Source organism: Homo sapiens, chromosome 16 (genome assembly GCF_000001405.40).
Source record: "Homo sapiens chromosome 16, GRCh38.p14 Primary Assembly".
Lineage (NCBI taxonomy): Eukaryota > Metazoa > Chordata > Mammalia > Primates > Hominidae > Homo > Homo sapiens.
Genome location: NC_000016.10, coordinates 18,341,785 through 18,358,089, shown reverse-complemented (window position 1 = coordinate 18,358,089; position 16,305 = coordinate 18,341,785). Strand labels below are relative to the sequence as shown.

The 16,305-nt window shown below is 61.6% G+C and overlaps 1 non-coding gene and 2 pseudogenes across 2 annotated transcripts in view, besides 1 other annotated feature; all 3 read left to right on the top strand.

Annotated features, from left to right (window-relative positions):
• Nucleotides 1-5,644: 5,644 nt before the first annotated feature.
• The window catches only part of PKD1P4-NPIPA8 (PKD1P4-NPIPA8 readthrough), a 34,527-nt pseudogene continuing 23,866 nt past the window's right edge, over nt 5,645-16,305 (top strand). The window contains exons 1-19 of the transcript NR_146336.1: nt 5,645-5,685; nt 5,807-5,878; nt 6,147-6,316; nt 6,529-7,200; nt 7,319-7,502; nt 7,974-8,157; nt 8,346-8,461; nt 8,872-8,998; nt 9,354-9,601; nt 10,075-10,830; nt 11,729-11,860; nt 11,957-11,974; nt 12,051-12,226; nt 12,579-12,712; nt 13,807-13,950; nt 14,078-14,357; nt 14,451-14,664; nt 14,731-14,890; nt 15,281-15,433. The product of NR_146336.1 is annotated as a PKD1P4-NPIPA8 readthrough (transcript). The remainder of the gene's footprint in view (nt 5,686-5,806; nt 5,879-6,146; nt 6,317-6,528; nt 7,201-7,318; nt 7,503-7,973; nt 8,158-8,345; nt 8,462-8,871; nt 8,999-9,353; nt 9,602-10,074; nt 10,831-11,728; nt 11,861-11,956; nt 11,975-12,050; nt 12,227-12,578; nt 12,713-13,806; nt 13,951-14,077; nt 14,358-14,450; nt 14,665-14,730; nt 14,891-15,280; nt 15,434-16,305) is intronic.
• PKD1P4 (polycystin 1, transient receptor potential channel interacting pseudogene 4) overlaps nt 5,807-16,305 on the top strand; it is a 17,884-nt pseudogene continuing 7,385 nt past the window's right edge.
• MIR6511A4 (microRNA 6511a-4) lies at nt 14,011-14,077 on the top strand. Its single transcript, NR_106971.1, has one exon. It is a non-coding gene; the product is annotated as a microRNA 6511a-4 (primary transcript).
• Nucleotides 15,291-16,082: an enhancer, noted in NCBI's record as "H3K27ac-H3K4me1 hESC enhancer chr16:18435865-18436656 (GRCh37/hg19 assembly coordinates)". NCBI's record gives its function as "activates a minimal SCP1, AML or CMV promoter by ChIP-STARR-seq in naive H9 embryonic stem cells {active_cell/tissue: H9 hESC(naive)}" and the evidence as "EXISTENCE:reporter gene assay evidence [ECO:0000049][PMID:30033119]".

Below are 16,305 nucleotides of genomic sequence, written 5' to 3'. Positions count from 1 at the left end.
TGAATACTGCAGTCCTTATGTTATTGCTTTGTTTCAATATCTGGTATGATTGCCTGAGGGACCTGAGGTTTTTAATCGTAGGGGTTTTTTTAATCTTTAGAAGTGGTTGGTTATGTAAAATATTATTATTTGTTTTTTTTTTGAGACTGGAGTTTGCTCTGTCACCCAGGCTGGAGTGCAGTGGCTCGATCACAGCTCACTGCAGCCTCAACCTCCTGGGCTTCAAGCAATCCTCCTGCCCCAGCCTCCCAAGTAGCTGGGATCACAGATGTGTGCCACCACGCCTGGCCAATGTTAAAAAATCCTTTAACTTTTTTGTAGAGATGCACTCCTGGACTCAAGCAATCCTCCTACTTGTCCCGACCACCAGCCTCTTTCTGATAAACATTTACACTGTTTATTATCTGATGCCATTTCTATCTTCTTCCTTGTCATCCAGACATCAAAGAATTAGGTTTCTTCAGGGTTTTCTTTTTCAAGTGCTCAGTGTTAAAGATCACTCACATTAGGGCCAGACACCACGGCTCATGCCTGTAATCCCAGCACTTTGGGAGGCCGAGGCGGGCAGAGCACTTGAGGTGGGGAGTTTGAGACCAGCCTGGCCAACTTGGTGAAACCCCACCTCTACTGAAAAAATACAAAAATTAGCTGGGCGTGATGGTGCATGCCTGTAGTCCCAGCCACTTGGGAGGCTGAGGCATGAGAATCGCTTGAACCCAGGAGGCAGAGGTTGTAGTGAGCCGAGATCACATCAGCACACTCTAGCCTGGGTGACAGAGCGAGACTGACTCAAAAAATAAATAAAATAAATATCACTTACATTAGATATACCCAAGGGGTGGTCTATAGAGACTTGGAAGCAGTGGTTATTGCAACAGGGGCACGGAAGTCATCTGGCTATGCCAGGGTGCCCAGGGGATACTCGGGGTGGGTGGCATGGTGCTGCTGGGGACTCACCGCACAGGACGCTCTGATTGACGCACTGCCAGGAGTAGCGCTCTGTCTTGGGGCTGCAGCCGGCCTCCTCAGCTCGAGTGTAACAACAGTCGTGGCCATGGCAGCACCTGCGGATGTCACATGGGCAGGACAGCAGGTGGGTGAAGCTCTCTCCTGGCCCTCCTCTCTTGCCAGGACTATGGGTGACTGAAGACCCCCAGGGAGGCACAGCATCCTCTTATCTAAGATTTTTTTTTTTTTTTTTTTTTAAGAGACAGGGTCTTTCTCTGTCGCCCAGGCTGGACTGCAGAGGCACAATCATAGCTCACGGCAGCCTTGAACTCCTGGGCTCAAGCGATCCTCCCACTTCAGTGTCCCAAGTAGCTGAGACTACAGGCACACGCCAGCATGCCCGGCTGGTTTTTTAATTTGTATTTCCTTTGAGACAGCGTATCTCTCTGTTGCTCAGGCTGGAGTGCAGTGGCTCAATCAGCTCACTTTAGCCTTGAACTCCTGGGCTCAAGTGATACTGCCACCTCAACCTCCCAAGTCTGCTACTACAGGAACACAAACTCCTTTTTTAAATTTTTTATGGATATGGGGTCTTACTATGTTGCCTAGGCTGGTCTCGAACTCCCAGGCTCAAGCAGTCCTCCTACCTCAGCCTCCCCAAATGCTGGGATTACAGGTGGGAGCTACTGTACACCTGGCCTTATCTAAGCTGTTTCCCTGAAAATCCCCGTCTTGGGTAATGATTCCATTGGCCCCACCATGCCCTCTGCCTTCCTGGCTGTGCCCAAGCTTGGTCCCTGCCTGCCTGCCTGCCTCCCTCTCTGGGTCTTGAGCTCCTGTGACACATGACTCCTCTCTCTTCCTGGAGTGATCCAAGCCCTGCCACTTCCTGACTTTGCCCACACTGTACCCTCTGCCTGGGGCAACTTCATGTCTGCCCATTGTCCCTTAGGCCTCAGCCCAGGCACAAGCCCCTGCCTCCGGAGGTCATCCAGGCCTCACCAGGCTACACCCTCTCGTAAAATTGGATTCCCTCCCTTCAGGGCAGGTTTATAATGAAATCCTCCTCAGAGGCCAGGTGCGGTGACACCCATCTGTAATCCCAGCACTTTGGGAGGCTGAGGTGGGAGGATCACTTGAGGCCAGGGGGTCGAGACCAGCCTGGGCAACATAAGAGAGACTCTTGTCTCTATAACAAATTTAAAAATTACCTCACCAGGCCAGGCTCAGTGGCTCATGCCTGTAATCCCAACACTTTGAGAGGCCGAGGCAGGTGGATCACGAGGTCAGGAGTTCGAGAGCAGCCTGACCAACATGGCGAAACCCTGTCTCTACTAAAAATACAAGATTAGCCAGGCATGGTGGCACGCACCTGTAATCCCAGCTACTCGGGAGGCTGAGGTAGGAGAATTGCTTGAACCCAGGAGGTGGAGGTTGCGGTGAGCCAGGATCACGCCATTGCAGTCCAGCCTGAGCAACAGAGCAAGACTCTGTCTCGAGACAATAAAAACACACAAAAGATTAACTCGCCATGATGGCACATGCCTATAGTCCTAGCTACTTGGGAGGCTGAGGTGGGAGGATTCCCTTCAGCCCAGGAGTTTGAGGCTGCAGTGAGCCACTATGATTGTGCCACTGCACTCTAACCTGGGCAAAAGCGAGACCCCAGGCTAGAGTGCATGATTTTGGGTCACTGCAACCTCCACCTCCCAGGTTCAAGTGATTCTCCTGCCTCAGCCTCTTGAGTAGCTGCGACTACAGGCATGTGCCACCACGCCTGGGTAATTTTTGTATTTTTAGTAGAGACAGGGTTTAGTAGAGACCATGGTGAAACCCCGTCTCTATTAAACAAATCTCTACTAACCCCATCTCTACAAAAATCAGCTGGGCGTGGTAGTGCACACCTGTAATTCTAGCTACTTGGGAGGCTGAGGCACGAGAATCATTTGCATCTTGGAGGCAGAGTTTGCAGTGAGCTGACATCGCACCACTGCGCTCCAGCCGGGATGACAGAACAAGACCCTGTCTCAAAAAAAAGAAAAAGGAACAAACAACAGCAACGACAACAAAAAAACCTCTGTGTCAATCACAGCCTTCAAGCTAGGGGAGAGGCGGCCGAATTCTGCCCTCTGCTAACTAACTATAGCTTTGTGGAAATGGGTGAATGGTGTGCCCTTGTGAGCCTCAGGGCCCCATCTGTAAAATGGGCATAACTGTCATGCCCGTCTTTAAGAACAGCCTTGGGGGTAAATGAGTGGAAGTCATGGAAAGATCTCAGCCCACAACCTTCCACAGAACAGACGCTTCTCACACAGTAAGTAGCAGGAGTGCAGAGGCTGCAGGCATGAATCCAGCCAGACTGCCTGGGTTCAAGTCCCAGCTCCCACGTCTTGGTAACTATGTGGCCTCAGACAAGTTACTTAATATTTCTTTTTTTTTTTTCAGACGGAGTTTTGCTCTGTCACCCAGGTTGGAGTGCAGTGGTGTGATCTCGGCTCATTGCAACCTCTGCCTCCCGGGTTCAAGCAATTCTCCTGCCTCAGCTTCCTGAGTAGCTGGAATTACAGGCACCTGCCACCACACACAGCTAATTTTTGTATTTTTAGTAGAGACGGGGTTTCACCATGTTGGCCAGGATGGTCTCGAACTCCTGACCTCGTGATCTGCCTGCCTCAGCCTCCCAAAGTACTGGGATTACAGGCGTGAGCCACCACACCTGGACACGTTACTGAATATTTCTGTGCCTAGGTTTCTTCATGTGAAATGGGATTGTTGTGAGAACACAAAGGGATTCCCAGGGCAGTTCCTAGTGCATAGTCTGGCTGCCTTTGTATGTGTGTGTGTGTGTGTGTGCACGCGCGTGTGTGTGTGTGTTTAATATAGAGACAGGGTCTCACTCTGTTGCCTAGGCTCGTTTCAAACTCCTGGGCTCCAGTGATTCTCCTGCCTCGACCCAAAGTGGTGGGATTACAGGCATGAGTCAACACACCTGGTCACTTTATATTATTATTATTTTTTTCTTTTGAGACAGGGTTTGGCACTGTTGTCCAGGTTGGAATACAGCGGTGCAATCTCAACTCACTGCAAACTCCGCCTCCCGGGTTCAAGCAATTCTCCTGCCTCAGTCTCCCGAGTAGCTGAGATTACAGACGCCTGCCACCACACACAGCTAATTTTTGCATTTTTAGTAGAGATGGGGTTTCACCATATTGGCCAGGCTGGTCTTGAACTCCTGACCTCAAGTGATCTGCCGGCCTCGGCCTCCCAAAGTGCTGGGATTACAGGAGTGAGCCACCGTGCCCAGCCATCTTTCTTTTCTTGCTTTCTCTTTCTTTTCTTTCGAGACCGGGTCTTGCTCTGTCGCCCAGGCTGGACTGCAGTGGCACAATCATAGCTCACTGCAGCCTCGACCTCCCTGGCTCAAGCGATCCTTCCTCCTCAGCCCCCCGAGTAGTTGGAACTACAGCTCCACACCACCATGCCTGGCTGATTCTTTTTTTCCTTGTAGAGATGGGGTCTTGCTATGCTGTCCATCCTGGTCTCAAACTCCTGGCCTTCCCAAAGCACTGGGATTACAGGCATAAGCCACCACAGCCAGTTTCCTTTTCTTCTTTTTAACTGGAATAGTTGACTTTTTCTTTATTAGCTGTGTGTCAGGAGGGTATTTTTGGCCTTTAGTATGTCGTCTAAGTTGCTAGTGCTTTTCTGAGATTGTAGTTTGTTTTCTAATTTTATTTATATTTTGCGTAGAAGTTGTGTATTTTAGATGGAGTTAGGTCGGCTGGTCTTTGATGTTTTATTTATTAATTATGTATGTATTTATTTATTTTTGAGGTAGAGTCTCGCCGTTTCACCCCAGCTGGAGTACAGTGATGCGATCTCAGCTCCCTGTAGCCTTGACCTCTCTGGGCTCAAGTGATTTTTCTCTCCTCTACCTCCCGAGTACTTGGGACCCCAGGCGCATGCCGCCATGCCTGGCTAATGTGTATTTTTTTGTAGATACGGGGTCTCACTGTGTTGCCCAGGGTGGTTTCAAAATCCTGGGCTCAGGCGATCCTTCCGTCTCAGCTCCCACGGTGCTGTGTTACCGGCGTGTGCCCCAGTGCCTGGCCGTCTTGGAGGTCTTGTTTCTCTGGGTTTATGCCTCAAGGTGGCGCCTGCTCCGCTGTGCTCCCTGGTAGCCTGGTAGTGAGCCTGCTTCTCACACAGTCATACCTGGTTGTGGTCCCACAGTGGGACCACCCTGTTGGGTTCAGAACAGGAGATGGGGGCCCCTCGAGTCTGTGTGGGGGCTGTAGACAGGGTTGGGAGACCTTGGCTCTGTGGGGGACTGTGGACAGGGGATGGGGGGCCTTGGCCCTGCGTGGGATGGGTTGGGGGTCCGTGCCCTTCCTGGCCCTGGGTGGACAGGTCCAGGTGGCACTCGGCATAGGGCTGAGATGGGTGCAGAGGGCTGAGGCCCCCAGGCCTCTCCCGGCTTGGTTTCCCCAGATGAGTGTTCATTTGGGTCTTCCATCAGAAAGGCCCCTCCTGACCTCTGGGAGTGGGGAGCTCAAGGGTGGGAGGCCATAGCTTGGGGATGCTGGCAATGTGTGGGATGGGCCCAGGGATGGCCTCTGGCCTACTAAGGGCTCTGGCCCTGACCCACGGCCACTCACTCCTCAGAGACGTCTCCCACAACCTGCTCCGGGCGCTGGACGTTGGGCTCCTGGCGAACCTCTCGGCGCTGGCAGAGCTGTGAGTGTCCCCCAGTCGTGCCAGCATGCGGGGCTCACTCCGGGTGGGCTGGCGGCACCGCCTCTTGCTGCTCAGCTGTGGGGGCTTCCGTCAGCTTTGCCGAATCCCCCCTCTCTTCCAGGGATATAAGCAACAACAAGATTTCTACGTTAGAAGAAGGAATATTTGCTAATTTATTTAATTTAAGTGAAATGTAAGTTGTGGTTCTTTGGGTGGGGTCCTGGCTGGACCCCAGGCCCCCAGTATCCCTTCTGCCCTCCCAGTTGGTCCGTGTCCCCTTCCAGGCTTGAGACCAGATCCTGGGGGCAGTTCACTACCTGCTTGGAGCCCCCCAGTGCCGGCTTGGTTGGGGCAGGGGAGGCGGTGCTGTCAGGGTGGCTCCAGGGCCTGGTTGCCAGTGGGGGGCTGGCATAGACCCTTCCCACCAGACCTGGTCCCCAACACCTGCCCCTGCCCCGCAGAAACCTGAGTGGGAACCCGTTTGAGTGTGACTGTGGCCTGGCGTGGCTGCCGCGATGGGCGGAGGAGCAGCAGGTGCGGGTGGTGCAGCCCGAGGCAGCCACGTGTGCTGGGCCTGGCTCCCTGGCTGGCCAGCCTCTGCTTGGCATCCCCTTGCTGGACAGTGGCTGTGGTGAGTGCCGGTGGGTGGGGCAGCTCTGTCCTTCCCAGCCAGGTGGGACCTGGGCCCTGCAGACACTGGGCAGGGCTCAGGAAGGCCTCTCTGGGGGGGGCCTCCGGGCCAAGGGAACAGCATGGGAGCCTGTGAGTGCGGCGGGCGGATGGGGGGGTGTGGGGTGGAGCCAGGAGGAGCAGAACCCGGGGTCCAGTGGCTGCCTCTTCTAGGTGAGGAGTATGTCGCCTGCCTCCCTGACAACAGCTCAGGCACCGTGGCAGCAGTGTCCTTTTCAGCTGCCCACGAAGGCCTGCTTCAGCCAGAGGCCTGCAGCGCCTTCTGCTTCTCCACCGGCCAGGGCCTCGCAGCCCTCTCCGAGCAGGGCTGGTGCCTGTGTGGGTCAGCCCAGCCCTCCAGTGCCTCCTTCGCCTGCCTGTCCCTCTGCTCCGGCCCCCCGCCGCCTCCTGCCCCCACCTGTAGGGGCCCCACCCTCCTCCAGCACGTCTTCCCTGCCTCCCCAGGGGCCACCCTGGTGGGGCCCCACGGACCCCTGGCCTCCGGCCAGCTAGCAGCCTTCCACATCGCTGCCCCGCTCCCTGTCACTGCCACACGCTGGGACTTCGGAGACGGCTCCCCCGAGGTGGATGCCGCTGGGCCGGCTGCCTCGCATCGCTATGTGCTGCCTGGGCGCTATCACGTGACGGCCGTGCTGGCCCTGGGGACCGGCTCAGCCCTGCTGGGGACAGACGTGCAGGTGGAAGCGGCACCTGCCGCCCTGGAGCTCGTGTGCCCGTCCTCGGTGCAGAGTGACGAGAGCCTCGACCTCAGCATCCAGAACCGCGGTGGTTCAGGCCTGGAGGCCGCCTACAGCATCGTGGCCCTGGGCGAGGAGCCGGCCCGAGGTGAGTGTCTGCTGCCCACTCCCCTTCCTCCCCAGGGCCATCCAGATGGGGCAGAGCCTGGTACCCCCGTCTTGGGCCCACACTGACCGTTGACACCCTCGTTCCCACTGGTCTCCAGCGGTGCACCCGCTCTGCCCCTCGGACACGGAGATCTTCTCTGGCAATGGGCACTGCTACCGCCTGGTGGTGGAGAAGGCGGCCTGGCTGCAGGCGCAGGAGCAGTGTCGGGCCTGGGCCGGGGCCACCCTGGCAATGGTGGACAGTCCCGCCGTGCAGCGCTTCCTGGTCTCCCGGGTCACCAGGTGCCTGCCCCACCCCCCGAGGGGCCATAGGTTGGGAGATCTCTGAAGCAGTGGGGCAGAGCCTGCGGCTGGGGAGTCTCAGGAGGAGGGAGGTGGGAGCTGGGCCGGCCCTGGTGAGCAGGTGGCGCCGGCCGGTGGGGCCGTTCCTGTCAGCTCTGCAGATGCAGAGGTGGACGCGAGCTGGGGGCAGCCTCCGGACACTCCTGGGCACGCCATACGGGAGGTGGCCTGCACGGGGATCCCTGCCGGTGCCCACAGGCCCCGTGGGTGGGTGCTGCTGTGAGCCTGGGCTGGTGGGCCCTGCTCTCCGGGCTCTGAGCCTCAGTTTCCCCATCTGGAAAGGGGGACAGTGACGGGGCTCCCAGCGGGCTGCTGTGAGGGTGGGAGGATGGAGGAGTGCCCTGAGCCCCCTGCCATCCCACACCCGCCCCCAGGAGCCTAGACATGTGGATCGGCTTCTCGACTGTGCAGGGGGTGGAGGTGGGCCCAGCGCCGCAGGGCGAGGCCTTCAGCCTGGAGAGCTGCCAGAACTGGCTGCCCGGGGAGCCACACCCAGCCACAGCCGAGCACTGCGTCCGGCTCGGGCCCACCGGGTGGTGTAACACCGACCTGTGCTCAGCGCCGCACAGCTACGTCTGCGAGCTGCGGCCTGGAGGTGTGCGAGGGGCCAGGCAGGGGCCTGAGACGCTGGCTGTGGTTAGGGGCCTGCCGAGCGCCCGCGGTGGAGCCTGGGCTGAGGAGGAGGGGCTGGTGGGGGGGTTCTCGGGCGGCTCGGTCCCCAGTCTGTTCGTCCTGGTGTCCTGGGCCCTGGCCCGGCGCCTCACTGTGCACTTGCCACCCCAGGCCCAGTGCAGGATGCCGAGAACCTCCTCGTGGGAGCGCCCAGTGGGGACCTGTAGGGACCCCTGATGCCTCTGGCACGGCAGGACGGCCTCTCAGCCCCGCACGAGCCCGTGGAGGTAGTCGGCCCCCCACGTTCTATAACCTGCCCTCCTGCCTGCCCCTGGAGGCCTCGCCTGCCCTGCCCACTGTGGGTCTCGCCAAAAAACTTGGGGGCCTTAATGTTGCTTGTGCCCAGTGAAGATGGTTGGGAAAATCCAGAGTGCAGAGAGGAAAGCGTTTACTCACATTACCCCCAGGCCTTTTCTCTGAGTGTGGGTGAGTTATTCCTGAAAGGCAGGTCAGGGGTCCTGCCCCCCATGGACAGTTTCCATCGGAGTCTTCCTCTCGAGCGACAGGAGCCAGGCCTGTGGGGGTCCGATGGCTCGCTCTCCTTCCCTCCCCTCTTCCTGCGAAGTTCGGGTGGGGGGAGTCTGGGCTTCAGGCTGGGATGGGGTCTGTGGAGCTGAGGCGGCCCCCTGCCCACCAGGTCATGGTATTCCCGGGCCTGCGTCTGAGCCGTGAAGCCTTCCTCACCACGGCCGAATTTGGGACCCAGGAGCTCCGGCGGCCCGCCCAGCTGCGGCTGCAGGTGTACCGGCTCCTCAGCACAGCAGGTGGGACTCTGGGGTGGTGGGCGCCGCAGGACTCGGGGTGGCCTCTCTGAGCTCTCACGTCTGCTGGTCCTGTGGCCATCAGAGTGGTTCCCAGTCTTAGGTGGACAGAGCAGGGGTTCCAGAGACACCAGCTCATTCCAGGTGTCCTGGGGGTGGATCGGGTGGGGCCTGCCTGGGGACCGGCCTGGGTCAGTCAGCTGGCCGGAGACAGGGACGCAGCACTGGGCTGGGAGTGCTGCCCGGGCGGGGAGACCTGTCCTCACAGCAAGGCCAGGCTCGCTGGTGCAGGCAGTTGGGCATCTCTGACGGTGGCCCGTGGGCGAATGAGGGCCCCAACACCCTCCCCTCCTCGCAGGGACCCCGGAGAACGGCAGCGAGCCTGAGAGCAGGTCCCCGGACAACAGGACCCAGCTGGTCCCCGCGTGCATGCCAGGGGGACGCTGGTGCCCTGGAGCCAACATCTGCTTGCCGCTGGACGCCTCCTGCCACCCCCAGGCCTGCGCCAATGGCTGCACGTCAGGGCCAGGGCTACTCGGGGCCCCCTATGCGCTATGGAGAGAGTTCCTCTTCTCCGTTCCCGCGGGGCCCCCCGCGCAGTACTCGGTGTGTGGCCCTGACCTGGGTCTGTTCCCTGCATCTCCTCAGGCCACCTTCCTGTCTGCTGCCCAGGGTCTGGGTCTGCGCAGCAGGCACACCCAGCCTGCAGGCCCCTCCCACGTCCTTGCCACCTCTGACCTCCGACCTCCGACCTCCAACCTCCGACCTCTGCAGTGCCCTTGCCCCTCTCCCAGTGGGAGAAGCTCTCGCCTGGGCCCTTGGCACGAGCTGTGCCTCCTCTTCCTCTCTCCCAGCACAGCCGCTCCTTCCTGTCTGCCAGGTCTTGGCCTGTGTCCTCTCCCCGTGTGTCCCCCTGTCTGCAACTGTCCTGCCTGTCCTTGTCACGAGCACTGTGGGGAGGCTCCCTGAGGTGTGGCTGACGAAGCGGGGAGCCCTGCGTGTCCACCCTCATCCGTCGTGCAGGGGTCCACGGGCCATGACCGTGAGGACGTGATGCAGCCCTGCCTCCCTCTCCACAGGTCACCCTCCACAGCCAGGATGTCCTCATGCTCCCTGGTGACCTCGTTGGCTTGCAGCACGACGCTGGCCCTGGCGCCCTCCTGCACTGCTCGCCGGCTCCCGGCCACCCTGGTCCCCAGGCCCCGTACCTCTCCGCCAACGCCTCGTCATGGCTGCCCCACTTGCCAGCCCAGCTGGAGGGCACTTGGGCCTGCCCTGCCTGTGCCCTGCGGCTGCTTGCAGCCACGGAACAGCTCACCGTGCTGCTGGGCCTGAGGCCCAACCCTGGGCTGCGGCTGCCTGGGCGCTATGAGGTCCGGGCAGAGGTGGGCAATGGCGTGTCCAGGCACAACCTGTCCTGCAGCTTTGACGTGGTCTCCCCAGTGGCTGGGCTGCGGGTCATCTACCCTGCCCCCCGCGACGGCCGCCTCTACGTGCCCACCAACGGCTCAGCCTCGGTGCTCCAGGTGGACTCTGGTGCCAGCGCCACGGCCACGGCTCGCTGGCCTGGGGGCAGTGTCAGCGCCCGCTTTGAGAATGCCTGCCCTGCCCTGGTGGCCACCTTCGTGCCCGGCTGCCCCTGGGAGACCAATGATACCCTGTTCTCAGTGGTAGCACTGCCGTGGCTCGGTGAGGGGGAGCACGTGATGGACGTTGTGGTGGAAAACAGCGCCAGCCGGGCCAACCTCAGCCTGCGGGTGACGGCGGAGGAGCCCATCTGTGGCCTCCGCGCCACGCCCAGCCCCGAGGCCCGTGTACTGCAGGGAGTCCCAGTGGTGAGTATGGCCGAGGCTCCACCACCAGCCCCCAGGCAGGTGCCTGCAGACAGGGTGCTCACACAGGGCTTGAGGCCTGGCTTCCCAGTGAGGGCAGCAGCCCAGTTACTGGGGACGTCGGCCCCGGGCAGGTCCTGCTGGCTGGCTCCTCAGGCTACCTGGTGGGCTTTAAATTCCTGGAAAGTCACGGCTCTGACAGCGGCTCCGCTAACTCATTCCACCGTCTCATTTCACGAAATGAATTTAAAACTCCGCTCCCTGACCTCACACGAGTCCCCGTGAGTCTCTCACGCCCTCTGCTGTGTTCTCGCCTGGCTAAAGCAAGTGGCTTTTGAGGTGGAGTCCGAACCCCTGATGGGAAACTGCGGGCTGCCCGCAGTGCCACCATGCTGGGTACATGGGGGACAGGGCTGTTCCATCTTGCGGGTACCTGCCCCTTCACCAGGGGCCTTGGGAGGGGCCATCAGAAATGGCGTGACCTGTGCAGCCTGTCCTGGGTTCTGTAAGCCAGTGTAGGTGCTGTCCCTGTGAGGCCCGTGTGCCTCCCCTCACTGCTCCGAGCTCTCTGGCTGAGGAGCTGGGGCAGGAGCCCCGGGAGGGTCTGAGAAGACTCAGAGAGAGGTGGACTCTTTGTAGCTGGTACTAGGTTTGCTTTACAGATGGGGAAACTGAGGCACAGAGAGGTTGAGGCATTAGTAGTACTACATGGCTGGCTGGAGAGCCGGACAGTCAGTGTCCCAGCCCGGGCTTGGCTCTCATGGCATGCAGAGCCCCGGGCACCTCCTCTCCTCTGTGCCCCGCGTGGGACTCTCCAGCCCGACGGGAGGTGTGTCCAGGAGGCGACAGGCTAAGGGCAGAGTCCTCCACAGAGCCCAGGCTGACACCAGTCCCCCCGCAGAGGTACAGCCCCGTGGTGGAGGCCGGCTCGGACATGGTCTTCCGGTGGACCATCAACGACAAGCAGTCCCTGACCTTCCAGAACGTGGTCTTCAATGTCATTTATCAGAGCGCGGCGGTCTTCAAGCTCTCAGTAGGTGGGCGGGAGTGGGGAGGGGAGGGGATGGGGCGGGGCGGGGGCGGGCTCCACCTTCACCTCTGCCTTCTGCTCTGCTTCATGCTGCCCGAGGACGCTGCCATGGCTGTGGTGAGTGGAGGGAGGGACGCCAAGCAGGGCAGGCCTCTCACCTGCCACCTGGGCCCACTGATGCCTGTCCCTGCAGCTGACGGCCTCCAACCACGTGAGCAACGTCACCGTGAACTACAACATCACCGTGGAGCGGATGAACAGGATGCAGGGCCTGCGGGTCTCTACAGTGCCAGCCGTGCTGTCCCCCAATGCCACGCTGGCACTGACGGCGGGCGTGCTGGTGGACTCGGCCGTGGAGGTGGCCTTCCTGTGAGTGACTCAGGGGCCGGTTTGGGGTGGGCACCAGGCTCTTGTCCGGGCACCAGGCTCTTGTCCCGGCTCCAGCCTCAGCCGAGGGACCCCACATCAGGGGGTTGCTTTTCTGAGCCTCGGTTTCCCTGTCTGTTGGGAGGTACTGGGTGCACAGGAGCCCTGAGGCTGCACGGGAGCCGGGAGAGGCCTCAGCACAGCCGGGTGGGCCCTGAATGGAGGCCCGGGGCGTGACTGCAGAGTGGAGCCTCGGCTGGGTCCCAAGCACCCCCTGCCCCGCCACCGCGCACCTGTGCCCCGCCACTGCGCACCCCTGTCCCGGTTCACTCACTGCCTCCCACCGCCCCGGCAGGTGGACCTTTGGGGATGGGGAGCAGGCCCTCCACCAGTTCCAGCCTCCGTACAACGAGTCCTTCCCGGTTCCAGACCCCTCGGTGGCCCAGGTGCTGGTGGAGCACAATGTCACCCACACCTACGCTGCCCCAGGTGAGGGATGAGGGGGTGAGGGGGCCACTGCCTTTCAGGCTCTGAGCACGGGGCCCCCCCAGTCCCCCAGTCAAGCTGCCCCGCTTCCTCCCCAACAGCCCTCACTGTGACCTCACCTGGGCTGATGGCTTAGGCCCCTACTGGGGTGAGGGAGGGGCCAGGCGTGGGAGGAGTGGACAGGGAAGCTGGGCCCCCTGAACTGCCCCCCACCGCGGCCTGGCTCTTGCTGCTCTGCTGCCCCGAGTGCAGCTGCACTTGGAGGCGGTGCCGTCCTCACCAGGCAGCCCTCAGTGCTGCTGCACCTGTGCTCCGTCCCGCACGTGGCTTGGGAGCCTGGGACCCTTAAGGCTGGGCCGCAGGTGCAGCCGTTCACCCCGGGCTCCTCAGGCGGGGGGCTTCTGCCGAGCGGGTGGGGAGCAGGTGGGGGTGCCGCGGCTGCCCCACTTGGGCCTGTCCCCACAGGTGAGTACGTCCTGACCTTGCTGGCATCTAATGCCTTCGAGAACCGGACGCAGCAGGTGCCTGTGAGCGTGTGCGCCTCCCTGCCCTCTGTGAGCGTGTGCGCCTCCCTGACTGGGGCCTGCTGGTACCCCAGAGTGGGTGTCTGTTCCCCAGTCCCTGCTTTCCTCAGCTGGCCTGATTGGGGGTCTGCCCAGAGGGGTCGTCTGAGGGGAGGGTGTGGGAGCAGGTTCCATCCCGGCTCAGCCTCCTGACCCAGGCCCTGGCTAAGGGCTGCAGGAGTCTGTGAGTCAGGCCTACGTGGCAACTGCGGTCCTCACACCCACACATACGTCTGTTCCCACACGCATCCCCCCAGGGGCCCTCAGTGAGCATTGCCTGCCTCCTGCCAGGGTCCAGCTGGCTCCAGTACACCAGAACGCACACCCCAGTGTCCTCTGCCCTGTGTATGCCCTTCCGCCGCCCAGGTTGGAAGGTGGCAAACCGGATGAGTATCCTGGGAGGGGGTGAGCTCACCGGCAGTGGCCAGGCCCCTGGGAAACCTGGAGTTTGGGAGCAGCATCCTCCACGGGTCCCCCAGACCTTCCAGCAGGCCAAATAGACCTGTGTTGGAGGTAACCCCACTCCCACGCCAGGTGCTGATCCGCAGTGGCCGGGTGCCCATTGTGTCCTTGGAGTGTGTGTCCTGCAAGGCACAGGCCGTGTACGAAGTGAGCCGCAGCTCCTACGTGTACCTGGAGGGCCGCTGCCTCAATTGCAGCAGCGGCTCCAAGCGAGGGGTGAGTGTTGAGCGGGGTGTGGGCGGGTTGGGGATGGGTCCCATGGCCGAGGGGACGGGGCCTGCAGGCAGAAGTGGGGCTGACAGGGCAGAGGGTTGCGCCCCCTCACCATCCCTTCTGCCTGCAGCGGTGGGCTGCACGTACGTTCAGCAACAAGACGCTGGTGCTGGATGAGACCACCACATCCACGGGCAGCGCAGGCATGTGACTGGTGCTGCGGCGGGGCGTGCTGCGGGACGGCGAGGGATACACCTTCACGCTGACGGTGCTGGGCCGCTCTGGCAAGGAGGAGGGCTGCGCCTCCATCCCCCTGTCCCCCAACCGCCCGCCGCTGGGGGGCTCTTGCCGCCTCTTCCCACTGGGCGCTGTGCACGCTCTCACCACCAAGGTGCACTTCGAATGCATGGGTGAGTGCAGGCCTGCGTAGGGGGAGCAGCGGGATCCCCCGACTCTGTGAGGTCACGGAGCCCTCCCGTGATGCCGTGGGGACCGTCCCTCAGGCTGGCATGACGCGGAGGATGCTGGCGCCCCGCTGGTGTACGCCCTGCTGCTGCAGCGCTGTCGCCAGGGCCACTGCGAGGAGTTCTGTGTCTACAAGGGCAGCCTCTCCGGCTACGGAGCCGTGCTGCCCCCGGGTTTCAGGCCACACTTCGAGGTGGGCCTGGCCGTGGTGGTGCAGGACCAGCTGGGAGCCGCTGTGGTCGCCCTCAACAGGTGAGCCAGGCCGTGGGAGGGCGCCCCCGAGACTGCCACCTACTCACCACCCCCCTCTGCTCGTAGGTCTCTGGCCATCACCCTCCCAGAGCCCAACGGCAGCGCAATGGGGCTCACAGTCTGGCTGCACGGGCTCACCGCTAGTGTGCTCCCGGGGCTGCTGCGGCAGGCCGATCCCCAGCACGTCATCGAGTACTCGCTGGCCCTGGTCACTGTGCTGAACGAGGTGAGTGCAGCCTGGGAGGGGACCTCACATCTGCTGCATGCGTGCTGGGGACCAAGACCTGTTCCCCTGCCTGGAGCTTTGCGGAGGGCTCATCCCGGGCCCCAGAGATAAATCCCAGTGACCCTGAAGCAGCACCCCGACGTTCCGCTCCCAGCAGCCACACCCACCGGGCCCTCTCCGGCGTCTGCTTTCCACAATGCAGCCCCCGCCCAGGAGGGCCCATGTGCTTACCCTGTTTTGCCCATGAAGAAACAGCTCAGTGTTGCGGGTCAGTGCCCACATCACACAGCATCTAGCACGTAACTGCACCCCGGGAGTCGTGGGCATCTGCTGGCCTCCTGCCGGCCTCCTGCCCTGCTGACAGCTTGCTGTGCCCCCTGCCTGCCCCAGTACGAGCGGGCCCTGGACGTGGCGGCAGAGCCCAAGCACGAGCGGCAGCGCCGAGCCCAGATACGCAAGAACATCACGGAGACTCTGGTGTCCCTGAGGGTCCACACTGTGGATGACATCCAGCAGATCGCTGCTGCGCTGGCCCAGTGCATGGTAGGATGGCCCCACATGCTCTCCCCGCCCCGCATGCCTGCCAGGGTACTGGGTTCAGCCCCCCAGGGCAGACGGGCAGCTTGGCCGAGGAGCTGAGCCTCCAGCCTGGGCTCCTTCCTGCCATGGCGTTCCTCGGTCTCTGACCTGCTTCAGTAGCCTCAGCCATTCTGCTGTCCTGTGTGAACGCAGGGTGCCTCTCGGGGGACCCAGGGTGTAAAGAGGGGCCCAGATGTGGGGAGGGACTAAGAAGATGCTGCTCTGTGCCCTCCACTCTCCCCTCCCCTCCCCCTTCCCTCCCCTAGCCCCTCCCCTCCCCTTCCCTCCCCTAACCCCTCCCCTCCCCCTTCCCTCCCCTAGTCCCTCCCCCCTCCCCTAGCCCCTGCCTCCTCCCCCAGCCCCTCCCCTCCCCTAGCCCTTCCCCTCCTCCCCTCCCCTAGACCTTCCCCTCACCTCATCCCGCTGAGCCCCTCCACTCCTCCCCCAGCCCCTCCATCCCCTCACCCCTCCCCTCCTCCTTCCTCCCCTCCTCCCCCTCCCTCCTCTCCCCCCTTCTCTCCCCTCCCCTCTCCTCTCCCCCTTCTCTCTCCTTCCCTCTCCTCTCCCCCCTTTTCTCCACTTCCCTCTCCTCTCTCCCTTCTGCCCTCCTCCTTCTCTCATGTGAAGAGGTGCCTTGTGTGGTCGGTGGGCTGCATCACGTGTTCCCCAGGTGGAGGCCCTGGGTCATGCAGAGCCACAAAAAATGCTTAGTGAGGAGGCTGTGGGGGTCCAGTCAAGTGGGCTCTCCAGCTGCAGGGCTGGGGGTGGGAGCCAGGTGAGGACCCGTGTAGAGAGGAGGGCGTGTGCAAGGAGTGGGGCCAGGAGCGGGGCTGGAC